The sequence below is a fragment of the Homo sapiens genome, chromosome 10 (genome assembly GCF_000001405.40).
Source record: "Homo sapiens chromosome 10, GRCh38.p14 Primary Assembly".
Classification (NCBI taxonomy): Eukaryota; Metazoa; Chordata; class Mammalia; order Primates; family Hominidae; genus Homo; species Homo sapiens.
This window is the reverse complement of record NC_000010.11, coordinates 14,662,769-14,679,917: the sequence shown is the minus strand read 5'-3', so window position 1 is coordinate 14,679,917 and position 17,149 is coordinate 14,662,769. Positions and strand designations below refer to the sequence as shown.

Genomic DNA, 17,149 nt, shown 5'->3' with positions numbered 1-17,149 from the left:
GAGGGCAGGAAGCATCCAGCACGGGAGAAAGATGGAGGCCGGAAGACTGAACCAGTCTAGTCTTTCCTCGTTCCTCTGCCTGCTTTTATTCTAGCTGTGCTGGCAGCTGATTAGATGGTGCCCACTAGATTGAGGGTGGGTCTGCCTTTCCCAGTCCACTGTCTCAAATGTTAATCTCCTTTGGCAACACCCTCACAGACACACCCCGGGACAATACTTTGCATCCTTCAATTCCATCAAGTTGACACTCAGTATTAACCATCACAACACCTTAGCTTGAATTCGGTTTTGTCATCTTGCCTGGGTTCATCCTTATGTCCAAGGGGTAGCAACTTTACCAGAAGGGGGTGAAAGGCTGCTAGTCAGGCAGATGATAGTCCCGCTATCTCACAATCACAGTGATTAGGGAAGTAGTTTTACATACATCACCTTGTTTCATCTTCACAGAAATCCTGCTAGGACATTAAGTATAACCTCAACTTTTTTTTGCCAGGTCCAGTGGTTCATGCCTGTAATCCCAGCACTTTGGGAGGCCAAGGCAAAAGGATTGCTTGAGGCCAGGAGTTCAAGACCAGCCTGGACAACATAGTGAGACCCTGTTTCTACAAAAAAATAAAAATATTAGCCAGGCTTGGTGGTGTGTGCTTGTAGTCCCACATATTCGGGAGGCTGGGGTAGGAGGATCGCTTGAGCCCAGCAGGTCAAGGCTGCAATGAGCTATGATCACATCACTGCACTCCAGCCTGGGCAATACAGTGAGCCCCTCTCTCCAAAAAAAAAGGAAAACAAATTACCTTGACTTTTTTATGATGAAACTGAGGCTCACACAGTTCCTGCATGGCAGGACTGGGATTTGAACCTCAGTCTCTCTAACTCCAAGGCCCACATCCTTTCCAGCACCCCTGTGGGATGCCAGCAGGCTCTGCTTCCCTCTCTGCTCACTTACTCTGGAGTTCTTGGCACTTTTCACAATAGTTGTATCTGCCATGTTAATTTCTTAAAACAAGAATCACTCAGCATGTTTTAGAATTGACTGGATGTGTCTGCCACCTAAACTGTTCCGTGTGATGAGGCCTGGAGACGCCTGTATTCACCAGGGACTCACCCAGAACATGAGGGCTGAGGACACAGAAGAGCTGATGTGATTTCTGTCACCTTCTCTCTTTCCAACATGCTAGTCAAATTCTCTTTCTCTCAGGTTCTCATATTGAAGTTCTTTTTCCTATTTATCGTGCATGTTCCACCCTTACATGAAGAAGAGAGGAGAAGAAAAGGGAGACAAACAGAGAGAGGAGAGGAGAGGAGAGGAAGCTATTTGTTAGCGTTAGGATTTTTCTTTTCCCAGGAAGACTGAGATCCATGTAATCCATCTGTCCTCTTTGTTGATGAGTTTCTGGAGGTCCCGAATTAGGTTTGTTCACTGCAGTGTCCCCCACGTTTCCTAGCAGAATGCCATGAACATGGAAGTTTCTCGGTCAATGTGTAGTGACTTAAAGTGAGTTTTTCCTTGAGTCAGTTTTGCTGAAAGTTGTGTATACAATCAGGAAACAGCTTTAATCCTCTTCTTAGTGTTCAATGGACAGAAAACACATACCCACCATCCCACCGAGGAAGAAAGGAAGGGAACATAATACGTATCCACTCTGGGAGGTGCAAAGGAGGTACTTCGTTACCTTATTTTACCCTAACAACAACCACCCATGGGCAGAAATATTATTCTCTCCATCTCCAGAGGAGGAAATTTAGAGAGAATAAGTCATTTTGGATTCAGCGTGGGGTAGGGTTTGTCAGCACAGACTCCGGACCACCTAGGCTTGTCGTCAGGTTCCAGCACTTACTCGCTTCTGTGGCCTTGGGCAAGTTCCATGATTTCTCTGACCTTAGTTTCCTCATCTGTAAAATGGGGATGATAGTATCTAATAAACAGATTGCCCTGGAAAGACAGTGCCTAACACAGAATAGAGTTTGATGATGGTCGTTTAACAACACCCGCCCATCATTAGGACTTCTTTTTATCAATACACCGCTTTTTAATGCTTTAGAGTGCACCAGAAACATCCAAAGAGCTTGTTGAAATTACAGACACCAGAGACACGCCCCAATTAGGGTGACCAACTTGCCCCCGTTTTCCCAGGACTTTCCTGGTTTTAGCTCTGAAAGTCCTGCGTCCTGGGGAACCCCTCAGTCCTGAGCAAGTTAAGATGGTTAGTCACTGACCAACCCACACTAACCATATCAGAATCTCTGGGTGTGGGGTTCTGGTATCTGTAGCTTTTTTTTTTTCTTTTTTGTTTTTTGAGACGGAGTCTCGCTCTGTCGCCCAGGCTGGAGTGCAGTGGCGCCATCTCTGCTCACTGCAAGCTCCGCCTCCCGGGTTCGCGCCATTCTCCTGCCTCAGCCTGCCGAGTAGCTGGGACTACAGGCGCCCACCACCACGCCCGGCTAATTTTTTGTATTTTTAGTGGAGACGGGGTTTCAGTGTGTTAGCCAGGATGGTCTCAATCTCCTGACCTCGTGATCTGCCCACCTCGGCCTCCCGAAGTGCTGGGATTACAGGATTGAGCCACCGCGCCCGGCCAGGTATCTGTAGCTTTAAAAAGAGAGAGGCATTGGGATTAGGAAGAGAGTTTAGTGTAGTGCTTTATATCACGGGTTTGAGAGCCGAGTAGGCCTGGGTTTGAATCTCCTTTTTGTCGTTTTTGAGAAGCATGACTTTGGCTGCGTTGATGAGTTCCTGGAAAGGCCACTGGGAAATGGAGAGTAGCAGCTATAATGTTGATTAGGGAATGCTCCTGGGATCAACCCTTGTGGATAGAAAGAGGAGGGAAAGGGGCAGGATTGGGCAGAGGGAGGCATTGGGCTACAATAAAGTCTTGATGAAGGCTTCAGCCAACTTCACAGAGAGCTCTGGAGAAAGGAGAGCTGTTAGAGTTGTCCTGAGTTGGAGTGAGGGGACCAGGACTCTCTGCTTTCATGTCAACCAAGTCAGTGGATGCTGGCTCCCTACAGCAATCACCCGGGTGGCTGACAGCTGAGAGCTATCTGTCAACAGCGTTTCTTGCAGCTTTGAGAATAAATATTACAGAGAACAACTTTTTCAGGTGCCACATCACAGCATCCACGACAGGGTGAATTACTAACTCCTCCAATAATTAATAAGATTACTTGCACAGAGGGTTGTTATGGATTAAGTGCACACATACAGTGCAGTTTCTCTGACATACTGCAAGCACTCAAGTCATTTTAGTTAATAGAATAAAGATAGAATGGGGTAGAGCTTCAGACGGAGGTGGGGCTGCTTCAGAAAGCTTTCTTGGAGGCATTTCTGACTTATCTGTGTTACTAGAAGCAATAATGTTTGAATTTTTATTGTGGGATGTATTACTATGTTGGGCGTGAAACAAAGATACAAAGTGGGTAAACAAGTGAATTCATTTAACAATTGTTTAATAAACACCTGTTAAGAGAGGGTGTAGACTCTGAATGAAGCTTGAAAAGGGAAGCACAGTTTTTGCTCTGGAAGAATATGTAATTTAGTGGGCTACCGATGGCTTATATAAGAGATTCCCTGGAAAACTAAACACATTTTTATTAGTAGTAATGCAACACAGTATGGAAGACTCTTGGTACTGGAATATGGTGGTGTTGGATATTGGGTTCTAAAATTACGTCCAGTAACAGACTATTCATATCCATCAAAATGTGTAATTAGATGCTGCTGCTACATAAGTTTTTTTGTTTTGTTTTGTTTTTGATTCTGAGACAGAGTCTTGCTCTGTCACCCAGACTGGAGTGCAGTCGCATGATCTTGGCTCACTGAAGCCTTGACCTCCCCAGGCTCAAGTGATCCTCCCACTTCAGCCCCCCAAGTAGCTGGGACTACAGGTGTGCACCATCACATCTGGCTAATTTTTTTATTACTTGCAGAGACAGGCTTTCACTATGTTGCCTAGGCTGGTCTTGAACTCCTGGGCTCAAGCGATCCTCTTACCTTGGCCTCCCAAGATGCTGGGATTCCAGGCGTGATTCACTGCACCGGGCTGCTGGAGAAGCTGTAATGGGACTGCTGCACTTTAACACATTAACTTGCTGAAACATTCTGGGGGGTAATTTTGAATCTACATCAAGAGCCTCAAAGACACCTATGTCCTTTGAAACAGAATCCTACCCTTGAGACTCTAATCCAGAATTATTTGAAATGAGAAAAAATAAAAAGCTATCCACTGTAAGATGTTTTCTTTGTTATATGGCTCCTAATAGAAAGAATCTGAAAACTCTTTAAATGTTTCATGATAGGGAAACATTTCTTTAAAATTAAAATTCAATTGTCTTGGAAAGGGTTGGGTCTCCTTTGGGACCCATTTTCCAAATGAAGGAAGTTGAGGCCATTAATCGGTCATAGGCTTGTTGCAACAGGTGGAGACAAATGGAACCAGGCCTTGGATGACATCAGGAATATAATGGAGCAGAAAGCTACTGACCTCCCTCCATGGATAGATGCACCAAATAAGCATCTACCCACAGATCCATTTCCTCGGAAAGTCAGAGACCAGTTGAGAGACACCTATCCACCAGACAAATGAGAAAATGTTGATATCAGATAGATAGGAAAACTGGGGCACACTTGGGCCCAGTATGCACCCTGACCACGGTGCCATAAAATTGGGAAAGGAGTTCCCAACGCCCAGCTTATTCCCATGGAGAGGATGGTCTGAGCCTCACATGAAGGGCCCTAATCCTGTTTCCCCATGATTTAACACTTAATGCACCAAACACAAGAACAGAGGGGATTAGATACACATGTGTAGGAAAAAAATATAGCAGTTTAATATGGGCATGCAAGTATTTTCAGAGAATTTATACCACTGGAATCAGCACAGAGAAGGGGCTTAAATCAGTGCAGAGAAGGGGCTTAAAAACATACGTGGACAAGCACAATGGCTCATGCCTGTAATCCCAGCACTTTCGGAGCACAACGTGGCAAAACCCTGTCTCTACAAAAAAAAATTATGAAAATTAGCCAGGTGTGGTGCTGCATGCCTATAGCCCCAGCTTCTCAGGAGGCTGAGGTGGGAGGATCACTTGAACCCGGGAGGTTGAAGCTGCAGTGGGTAAAGATTGTACCACTGCACTCCAGCCTGGGCAACAGAGCGAGAGCGAGACCCTGTCTCAACAAAACAAAACAAACAACTCTGTTTCCCCTTGGAAGGAGTTTACAAAACATACCTGTAGCTGCTACCTGGTGGCCTGGCTTCTAATTAACTTGCTTGGGGAGTTAACGAGACAATTATTAACCTGTCACCAGTCTGGGAGGAGTTTGTACTCACGCTAAGTGCTCCAGCCCTTATAACATCCACCTAAGGAACTGCATTCTAAATGTCCTAGTTCAGGGAGAGGATAAGACTGGCAAACACATGTCTCTCTAGACTGCAGAGAAAAACAAAGTGGTGGTTTTACATTATAAAGGGTGCATAAGCAATTTGAAGGACTCCATCCCCAGGGAGCAATGCTGAGAAGGGGTTTTAAAAACACAGCCCCTGTATATTCTGGATGTTAATCTCTTGTCAGATCAATAGTTTGCAAATATTTTCTCCCAAATTGCAGGTTGTCACTTCATTCTGTTGATTGTTTCCTTTGCTGTGCAGGAGCTTTGGAGTCTGATATAATCTCATTTGTCTATTTTTGCTTTTGTTGACTGTTTTTGAGGTACTAGCCATAAAACCTTTGCCTAGACCAATGTGCTGAAGTGTTTTCCCTATGTTTTCTTCTCCTAGTTTCATAGCTTCGGGTCTTACGTTTAAGTCTTTGATGCATTTTGAGTTGATTTTTGGATCTGGTGAGAGATAGGGGTCTACCTTCATTCTTCTGCATGTGGATGCCCTCTTTTCTAGAGATACTTGGAACGCAAATAACTCAACAGCAAACAAACAAAACAAAAAGCAAAAGCAAAAAACAAATAATCTGATTAAAAAATAGGCAAAAGATTGGAATAGGCATTTCTCAAAAGAAGACATACAAATAGCCAAGTATATTAAAAAAATGCTCCACATCACTAATCATCAGGAAAATGCAAATCAAAACCAAAATGAGATATCATCTCACCCCAGTTCAAATGGCGATTATCAAGAAGACAAAAAAATAACAAACGCCGAAAAGGATACGGAGAAAGGGGAACTCCTACAGTACAGCCGTTATGAAAAACAGTATGAAGTTTTCTCCAAAAACTAAAAATAGAACGACCATATGATCCAGCAATCCCACTGCTGGGTATGCATCCAAAGGGAAGGAGATCAGCATGTCAAAGAGATATCTACACTCTCGTGTTTATTGCAGCACTATTCACAATAGCAAAGATACGGAATCAACCTGAGTGTCTATCAACAGATGAAGGGATAAAGAAAATGTGGCACTTATACAATAGAATACTATTCAGACATTTAAAAAAAGAATAAAATCCTTCATTCGCAGCAACATAGATGAGCCTGGAGGACATTATATTAAGTGAAATAAGCCAGACACAGAAAGACAGATACCACATGTTCTGACTCATATGTGAGAGCTGAAAAAGTTGGTATCATGGAAGTGGAGAGGAGAACAGTGGTTACCAGAGGCTGGGAAGGTTAGGGGGAAGGAAAAATAGGGAGAGGTTGGTTAATGAGTACAAAATTACAGCCAGATAGAAGGAATAGTTTCTAGTGTTCTATAGCACTGCAGGGTGACTCTAGTTAACAATAATTTATTGTATATTTTCAAATAGCTAGAAGAACAGATATTGAATGTTCCTAACACAAAGAAATGATGGATGTTTGAGGTGACGGACAGGCTAATTACCCTGCTTTGCTCATTTCACATGTATACATGTATTGAAATATCACATGTACACATAAATATCTATGATTATTATGTGTCCATTTAAAAGAATGGAACCAAGCCTCTTTAATTATTGGTCAGGAATTCTATTTCTGTCTCCAACAAACTACCTTTTTGCTTCTAAACTTGCTGCCCTAGAGTGAAATGTTAACTCCCAATGTTGCCAACTATGAGGCCAAAGGAAAATGACTTGATGTACATTGGTGAATGTATTTGGTTCGTGTTTTTAAGTTTTTTTATTCCTTCCTTCTTTCTTTATTTCTACTAATGTTCAATCAGGTGAACCTTAGGAAAAGAAGCTAATTTGTACCAAAATCTTACCTTGAACTCCCTAAGTATAAACTTAGTGTGGTTTCACATGCCCTTTCAATGAGGCATCTTGGGATTAGTCCTCAAGGAAAATACAGTCATGAGCCATATAATAATGTTTCAGTCAGCAACAGACCCCATATAGAATGGAGGTCCCATCAGGTTATAAACTATCTTTTTACTGTACCTTTTCTATGTTTAGAAACACAAACAAACACATATTCATGTTGTAAAGTGACAACACACGACTGTAAATGAAAAGTCCATTTGTTTGACAAATTTTAATAGTACATTCTTGGTACATCATCGTGGTCACATTTGATTTAATAAGCATTGTAAAACTCATGATGGGGCCGGGCACAGTGGCTCACGCCTGTAATCCCAGCAGTTTGGGAGGCCGAGGCGGGCAGATCAACTGAGGTTAGGAGTTTGAGACCAGCTTGACCAACATGGTGAAATCCCGTCTCCACTAAAATACAAAAATTAGCTGGGCATGGTGGCAGGTGCCTGTAATCCCAGCTGCTCGGGAGGCTGAGGCAGGAGAATCGCTTGAACCTGGAAGGTGGAGGCTGCAGTGAGCCGAGATCACGCCACTGCTGGGCAACAGAGCAAGACTTTGCCTCAAAAAAAAAAATAAATAAATAAAAAATAAAAAGAAAGAAAAAAACTCATGATGGCAGGGGAGGTACAGAACCAATGTACAGAACCAATGCATGCCTGACTCCTGATTTCCCAGAGCTGGAGTTCTTACACTGGTGTATCAGTTAGGACTCATTCTTTTAGAAGTGACAGAAAACCTGATAGGAATCAGTTTGATTTAAAAAGAAATAGAGGGTTTTTTTTTTGTTTTTTTGTTTTTTTTTTTTAAATAAAAGGGAGTGTATTAGCTGCCTTATGCGGAAAAGTCCAGGGTTAATCTTGCTTCAGGCGTGGCTGAATTTGGGGCTTAGTTGATATCAACAGAAGAAAGCATTGGAGCATCTCTTGGCTCTGCCTTCCTTTGTGTGGGCTTCAGTTTCAGCCGCACGTGATAACAAGGTGGTGCCTACAGTAGCAGCTGCAACCCCTGTCTCTGGTTTCAGGGCCAGTGGATAATAAGAACAGGAGTCATTTTCCCAGAAGTCCAGAGAAAAATCTCATTAGGTCTCACTAACCCTGAGTGTGTCACATTCAGACAGCGAGATGGGAGGGGGTCCCCAGAAAACCTCCAACCAGCCTGCCCACTTGGGGTGGAGCCTCGGGAAGCTCGTGCCATTTGCATCAGGGAGGAGCCTGGCCCCTCCTCTTCCTGTGTGTAACCTGGGATTCCAACAGGAAGGGTTGTAGCAGGGACTCTGACCTAGTAAGAGTCCCTGTTTCCCCCTTTTCTTCCTTTTCACCCAATAAAACCCTGTTTTACTCACCATTCAAATTGTTGGCGAGCCTTTTCAAATTGTCTGCAAGCCTTAATTTTCGTGGCCATGGGACAAAGAACTCTGTCTTTAGCTGAACTAAGGAACAGTCCTGGAACAACATAGCCGCTCTACCAATCAGAGGGAAATGCAGCAGACTGATGGGCGTGGGCCTGGGTCATATGTTGCACCCCTGGAGTGGGATGGTGGGGAAGGAGTCGGTTTCACGGAGCACAGAAAACCACAGTTCTTTAAGAGTGGGATGAGATGGGATGAGATGGCTTTAAAGAGGAAATCAGGACACACTTACTAGATAGTGAGTCAGTGAGTACTAGGCAGCAAAATCAACAGATGTCTACTACAGTTGGACTGTTGTCATTTTATTCTAGCTTTGCTGGGAAAAAGCCACTACGAACGCATTCAGCAAATTGCAGACTTGCGCTGAAGAGAAGAGACACAAGAATTGAAGGAGCTCAGCTTCTTTTCTCTAAATAGAACATAGTTTATACTAGTGAGGACAGATGCTTGTTTATTCTGTGCTGAAAGCTCTCCAACCAAGAGCATTTCCAACATCCTTCCCTCTGCAGATTGTTGCGGGACTTTGCAACTCTTACTAGTCAAAGGGAAACCTTAGGGAGGGGCTATTTAAGATGGAGTAATAAATATGTTTGGAGAAGAGCTAAAGGGCTATGTTATTTCACAGTTCTGGAATTCAGAGCAATAAAAAAGTAAACAGTCTTACTGGCTCAAAGGGGAGAGTCTTTTCATCTTGAAAATGACTTTATTTGGATTATTTTGGCCTCTCAAGAGACTTCCCCTGTGGCTGTATTATAAAATAATTCCTCATGTTTTCATTATATACTGTTCTGTCAGGCCTTGTGAAACAAGAAATGACTTACTGCATTTATTTGCTGTGTGATGGGGCTTTTCTGTTATTTACACATTCTTTGGTATACTATTAATTCATACCCACTTCAAATATGTAATTTTGGAGGCAATTTTCATTAAAATTTCTTACAACACATACATTTGAGATAATTGAACTGAGGCCTTATTTACCCAAATTGCTTATGCCAATACTATTCTATGGGTTTTAAAAGTAGGACACATTTTTAGAAATGGTCTCTGATGATGAATATTTGGAGATGATTTTTGATCTCTGGAAAAACATTTGTTCCCAACACAGGTGAAATCAATTCACTTCTAAGTTGATAATTATGGCAATTTAATGAAACCAGTTTTTATGAATTAAGAAAGACATTTCTTTTTAAAAACATGTTTATTGATACATAATATTTACATATTCATGGGGTACTTGTGATTTTTTTTACATGCATAGAATGTGTGATGATCAAGTCAAGGCATTTAGGATATCCATTATGCAAGTATTTATGATTTCTATGTATTGGGAACATTTCAAGTTCTCTCTTCTAGCTACTTTGAAATATGCAATACATTGTTGTTAACTGTAGTCACCTTGCTCTGCTATGAACATTAGAATGTATTGCTTCTATCTAGCTGTATGTTTGTAACCATTAACCAACCTCTCTTCATTCCCCACACCGCACCCTTTCCTGACTCTGGTAACTATCATTCTACTTTCTGTTTCCATGAGACCAATGTTTTTAGTTCCCACATATGAGTAAGAACATGCAACAAGAATAAGAACATATGAGAAAGGCAAACAGATATTTATCTTTCCATGCCTAGCTTATTTCATTTAATAACTTCCAGTTTCATCCATGTTGCTGCAAATGACAGAGTTTCATTCTTTTTTTTATGGCCAAATAGTATTCCATTGTGTATATTTACCACATTTTCTTTATTTATCCGTTTATCTGGCGATGGATGTTCAAGTTGATAGTTGATTCCATATCTTTGTGAATAGTGCTCAAATAAATATGGGCGTGCAGATATCCCTTTGATATACTGATTTCCTTCGAAAAGGACATTTCTTTCTTCCTTTTTTTTTTTTTTTTTGACAGAGTCTCGCTCTGTGGCCCAGGCTGGAGTACAGTGGTGCAATCTCAGCTCACGGCAACCTCCACCTCCCAGGCTCAAGTGATTCTCCTGCCGCAGCCTCCCGAGTAGCTGGATTTACAGGCAGGCAAAACCACACCCAGCTAATTTTTTTGTATTTTTTGTAGAGATGGGGTTTCACCATATGGCCCAGGCTGGTGTTGAACTCCTGGGCTCAGGCAATCCACCCGCCTCGGCCTCCCAAAGTGCTAGGATTACAGGTGTCAGCCACCACAACTGGCCTGGACCTTTCTTTATCTTACTACCTGAGCTCTAGAGTCTGGTGGGTTCTAATCCAGGTGAGATATTACCAAGAACTGGCAAACTCAGGGCAAATTTGAGACAGTATTCCTATAATGAATAATACCAGTTTTTGAATTCAATTTTTTCACTCTGGTTATAGAATAGCCCCAGTTTTTATTTATGGAACCCTACACCCATATACTTTATTATGGTCTAGCATATCTTCTATTGGGCTAAATTCTTAGAAAGAACAAAGTAAGCACAGTAGCCTTCCTGCCAGGCTAGGAAGGAAGCTGAGTAGGTAACTTCCTGCAGTATAATTCAAGGGATGTTAGAAGGTATCCTGCCTAAAGGTTAAGATCCCACAGAAATAGCCCGTAGCAGACACTCATCAAATATTTGTTTAATGAAGGGAAAAACAAATAAATTAATTGGCGTAAAGTCATCTTGCAGGCAAAATTAGAAAAGGATCATTTAGATATTCCTCTTAATTTATCTCCCTCATTTCTAATGGGGTCTACTTTTATCAGTGTCACGGCAGTGACAACCATTGTCATTAAAGAATATCATACCAGGACTCAGACAAGAATGTGTACACCTACCTTCTTAGAGATAAAAATATAACTGTGAATAATGATGGAACTTTCGAAAGTACATGAAATCAGTTCCTTGAGTGATGAAAAACAAAACATAATTCTCCTTGTTCAACCATGCTGGTGGCATTTCTATTTTATGAAAAACCTGGCCTGGTGTGGTGGCTCACTCCTGGAACCCCAGCACTTTGGGAGGCCAAGGCAGGCAGATCATGAGGTCAGGAGATCGAGACCATGCTGGCCAACATGGTGAAACCCCGTCTCTACTAAAAATACAAAAAAAATCAGCCAGGCCTGGTGGTGCATGCCTGTAATCCTAGCTACTTAGGAGGCTGAGGCAGAAGAATCACTTGAACCAGGGAGTTGGAGGTTGCAGTAAGCCGAGATTGTGCCACTGCACTCCAGCTTGGTGACAGAGTGAGACTCCACCAAAAAAAACCCAAAAAACAAAAAACAAAAAAAACCCCGTCACCATCATTTCTAAGTCACGGGTGCCTTCAAATATATTAGTCACAGGGGGCCCCTGGGTTGCACCACTCCAGGGACAACATGCATAGACACTACCATGTGAATAGCACCCTGGAGTTGTGTCACCCAACGCCCCTGTAGTTACTCTACTCTACTTGGCATTTATTGTTGATTTGTAGTAGCTTGTCCAAAACCTCAGTTCTTTAAGGTGTGGTTTAAGTTTTTCAAGTCTTGATCTCATATTAATTAGTAGGCTTGCAAAAAGTATTGCCTTACATTAATGCATATTTTTACTTTCTCCCTGCTTTTCTGGTTTATGGGGCTGGCGCTTAGGAAGAAGAATTTCGAGAAGAACCTAAATGCCTCGAGCTGGAGCAGAAAATGACATCAGGTAGAGTACATTCTGTGTGATTCCTTTTCCAGGCTGCTGTTGCTGACAGAAGTGCTTGGAGCATCCTAAGGCTTTTCAGATTGCAAAGGAAAACCTGTATGTTCCAAATGATTGGAAACATGACTAGAAATGTCACGTGTGATATATTCCAGGCACGACATCTGGACAATCTGGTTGTGATGCAGAAAATAGCTCGTTCTGTTCTTTGTCTTCTTTCTTTTATTGATTACAGTTCTTGATGAACAAACACTTGCAAAGAAGTAGATGATGATAATGATGAAAAAATTTCAAATTCAGTAACGCTAAACTAAGAAGTATCATTATTTACTGAAATATTTATGATTATCTTGGAAAACATTATTTAGATAAGTTTGCTGGGGTTTTTTTTATGTTTGTGTATGGTCAAGTATGCAGCTTCGCTAAAGTGATTTATGCCACAATAGGACGCCCTATGAGTTAATGAGGAAAGAAATAAATGACGAGTGAATTTATAACTTAGTTTATGACTGTGATCTGTAATGATAATGAGATGTAATCGTCATAAAATAAACATTAGTTGAATGGGCCTAATAATAATGAAAGCTAAATCTTAATACTCTCAGCCTCTATTTACCAATGGCTTTTAGTTTTAGTTTGGTGTTTTATGTGATTCGGTGTTAGAAGATGGCTCCAGACGTGTTTGCTGCTGGCAAAGGCTCATGTTCTTGTACTTTAATGGAAATTAGGGAGAAGAATTAAGAAATTGGAAGTGGTAATGAAAAGAGTATGCAAAGTGGGAGGAAAAGTAGCACCCTACTCTGGTATAGATGAAGGAGACACAATGAGCAATTAATCAGCTCCACCCTTTCCCTCTATACTATCTCCTCCCATCTCCTCCCAAGTTCCCTGTACCCCCATCAATTACCAACATTGCTTTAATTTAGTGCCTCTTCCTGAGACACTGTCCCCTTGCAGATCCTTGTACAGATGGCTCAGTTCAAATGTCCTGTCCCAGAGAAAACGTTCCCAACCATCTTGGCATTCTTCCAAATCACTCTTCATCCCATTACACATTTTTTTTTCATGATTCTCATTCCAATCTGTTATGGTTTGGCTCTGTGTCCCCACCCAAATCTCACCTTGGATTGCAGTTCCCATAATCCCCATGTGTTGTGGGAGGGACGCAGTAGGAGGTAATTTAATCATGGGGGCAGTTACCCTCATGCTGTTCTCATGATAGTGAGTGAGTTCTCATGAGATCTGATGGTTTTATAAGGGGCTGTTCCCACTTCACTCTGCACTTCTCCTTGCTACTGTCATGTGAAGAAGGACATGCTTCCTTCTGCTTCCGCCATGATTGTAAGTTTCCCGAGTCCTCCCTAGCCCTGCAGAACTGTGAGTCAATTAAACCTCTTTCCTTTTTAAATTACCCAGTCTCTTGCAGTTCTGTATAGCAGCATGAGAATGGCCTAATACACAATCCAAAATAATCTTTCTGTTAATCTGTGGTTTATTACAATATTGTCTCTTAGAGAGCAGGGACATTACCAGTCTTGTTTAATGGCATCCCTAGCACCTTGGACAGTGCCTGATACATAGTAGTAATTCAGTAAATTTTTGTTAAGTGACTCCCTCATGTCCATTATGGGCAAGACACTCTCTTACTGTCTGTAGTGGGGGTACAGGTGGGGTAGGTTTGACATAGGCCAACACTATGCTATTTTAGATTTCTGCGATATGAAAAAAAATATGACATGGCACTTGCCCTCAAGACAACAAATTATGTTCGCAATATGAGAAATCATGTGAAGATATCTATATAATCAAAGTTCTGCTGGGAACACTGAGGAAGGAGCAATTCAATTTGCACTGGGAAGCAGGATCAAACAAGGCCCCTTGGGGTTGATGATACTTGTAATGAAGATTGGAGTTTGAAAGCCTACTTTCATAATAGGGGCATAGTAGGGGCAGTGGTGGAGCTTACATATCATACCTTTGAAAATGACTCTGAGTACCACTTTTGCACATTTACCCTTGATCTTTCATTTCTCAGCCAGAGAAGAAGGCTGGGAGGATGGTCATTGCTGCATCAATGCAAATTCAGCCAACTCAAAGGCTTTGAATTTCCCAGCTGCTGTTATAAATGCTTTTATTTGCTCTCTTGGCATAGTGCCCACTATGTTCTGAGAACATTTGTTCACACACGTTGGGAGGACATCATTACTCACTAAAGACTTGCTAAGAAATGAGATGACTTTACTGAGTTCTTTTATGACACCTCAGGGTGAGAAATTAGACATCCCATTCTGAAAAATTCTGCTAGGGTTCCCAGCTCCTTAGGCCCTCAGTATGTGTTACTAGAGATTCAGCAAAGTGGTAAAGATTTCCCTCAATAAATGCATTTGGAGTTGGACACCTCCCTCAAAATAAATCTGCAGAAAAGAGCAAATGAAGTGTAGGTAGACATTTAGAATCCCAATTTATCTGTGATCAGCAGGTATGGTTTTACATTATTGACACAATAAAAGGCTTATTACTTTCCCTTCTTCAAAAACACCTAAAAATGCTGTTGTCTAACTGGAAATTTCAAGCAGAAAATGCAGTTTCTCATTATTTCTTAAAAATGCTTGGGTCCGCAGACTTTGGGGCTTGCTATAGAGCTCCTCTTCTTTATTCAGGATTTATTCCTAAATGTGTGTCTTTGCATTGCATCTTGCTTTGGGTGTACTTGTGTTTCTAGTTGTAGTTCATTCTATCCAGATCTCCCATATTGATTAACCATTCTTTAAAATCCTGTTAGGTGTAAGTTGTGTCTGCTAAATTATTTGAAAAGTATGAACATATACTATATTCATTCAAAAAACTTTTACTGAATGTCTACTATGTGCTAGATATTGTAATAGGAATTATGCTATATAGTGAAGAATCTGAGAATGAGGAGGAGGATACATTCTGAGAAATGTGTCACTAGGCAATTTTGTCATTGTGTGAACATCATAGAGGGCACTTACACAAACCTAGATGGTATAACCTACTACACACTGAGGCTATATGATGTAGCCTATTGCTTCTAGGCTACAAACCTGTATGGCATGTTATTACACTGGATATTGTAGGCAATTATAACACAGTGGTAAGTATTTGTGTATCTAAACATATCTCACCATAAAAGAGGTACAGTAAAAAATACAGTAGTATACTCTTATGGGTCCACTGTTGTATATGTGGTTTGCTGTTAACCAAAACATTGTTACATGGCACATGACTGTATTTAGAGTGGTAAATACGACAGACTTGACTCCATCCCTCATGGAATGTATGGAAAGTGAGAAATACAGCCATTAGACAAATAAAATGTGAGTTATAGAGAAATGGTAGCCTTTAAATAGTAAAATGTAAGTTTTAGAGAAAGCAGGATACTATGGAAGTCTTGCCTTCACAGAGCTTCAGTCAAATAGAGCCTTTAAAACATGAACACAGAGAGCTAGGAGAAAAGGTAGAATACAGCATGTGCTGAAACAGAGACATAAGTAGGGGGCCAGGGAGCACTAAGGAGGTGAAAGAAACCCAGCTGGAGGAATCCAGGAAGTTTTTCAAGAGAATGCACCATAAGAGCTGGGCCTTGAAGGACAGAGATGAAATTCATTTGTGAAGGGAGACACGTCAGCCAGGGTGTTTATAAAGCAAAACCCAAATACTGTAAATTGGATTCCAAGTGATACTTGCTTGGAGTTCAGCCCATTTTTTTTTTTTTTTTTTTTTTTTTTGGCTGATGATCTAATTCTTGGGCATCTGACACTTCATCCTGAGTTCTATAATTTGTATTCATATTCGTAGGAGCCACCCACGTGATAATGACAGACGAGTTAGGAGTGTGCTCTGTCCTTACCACCATTGTTACTGTCTTCTGCCCTCAGATAATTGTGTCTGTATACATTGGAGGCCTTTCTTAGTAGGTGATTGAAAGATGGAACCTTAGTGCCTTTCCCGGAATCAGGTAGCATTTCCTTGTCACTTTGTGGATATACTAGCTTCATGGATACATTAGCCCATTTATAAGAACTTCCTTTTAATGTGATGCATTGTGGTTTGCTGTCAATGGGTACCCCATTTCAGCAAGAGAAGTGCTGGGCAGATTCTGCAGGGAGATGAAGTTTACCGTCTACGACCATACCACCCTGAACGCACCCAATCTCATCAGATCTCGGAAGCTAAGCAGGGTTGGGCCTGGTTAGTACTTGGATGGGGGAGACGAAGTTTACCTTCTTTTCACACCTGCACTTTCTATGTTCCAAGCCTCCTCAGTGAGTGTATTAGTCGAGTTCTCTAGAGGGACAGAACTAATAGAATAGATGCATATATGAAGGGGAATTTATTGAGGAGTATAGACTCACATGATCACAAGGTGAGGTCCCACAATAGACCTTCTGCAAGCTGAGGAACAAGGAAGCCAGTCCAAACCCAAAATCTCAAAAGTAGGGAAGCCGACAGTGCAGCCTTCAGTCTGTGGCCGAAGGCCTGGGAGCCCCTGGCAAACCACTGGTGTAAGGCCAAGAGTCCAAAAGCTGAAGAACTTTGAGTCTAATGTTCAAGGGCAGGAAGCATCCAGCATGGGGGAAAGATGAAGACCGGAAGACTCAGCAAGTCTACTCTTTCCTCTTTCTTCTTCCTGCTTTTATTCTAGCCATGCTGGCAGCTGACTAGATGGTACCCACCCAGATTGAGGGTGGGTCTGCCTCTCCTAATCCACTGACTCAAACGTTAATCTCCGTTGGCAACCCCCTCACCAACACACCCAGAAACAATACTTTGCATCCTTCAATCCAATCAAGTTGACACTCAATATTAACCATCACAGTGGGGTTCCCTCCTCTACACCTTCGCTT

General features: G+C 41.8%; 1 protein-coding gene and 1 pseudogene across 2 annotated transcripts in view, besides 1 other annotated feature; both read left to right on the top strand.

The window, feature by feature from the left end:
- The window catches only part of FAM107B (family with sequence similarity 107 member B), a 256,341-nt gene that overhangs the window by 94,980 nt on the left and 144,212 nt on the right, over positions 1–17,149 (top strand). For both annotated transcript variants that reach the window (NM_031453.4, NM_001282695.2), the window contains exon 2: positions 12,227–12,284. In NM_031453.4, coding sequence (NP_113641.2) covers positions 12,227–12,284 — 58 coding nt within the window. The remainder of the gene's footprint in view (positions 1–12,226; positions 12,285–17,149) is intronic.
- Positions 4,588–5,174: an enhancer, noted in NCBI's record as "H3K27ac hESC enhancer chr10:14716743-14717329 (GRCh37/hg19 assembly coordinates)". NCBI's record gives its function as "activates a minimal SCP1, AML or CMV promoter by ChIP-STARR-seq in naive H9 embryonic stem cells {active_cell/tissue: H9 hESC(naive)}" and the evidence as "EXISTENCE:reporter gene assay evidence [ECO:0000049][PMID:30033119]".
- Positions 16,424–16,523, top strand: RNA5SP302 (RNA, 5S ribosomal pseudogene 302; annotated as a pseudogene).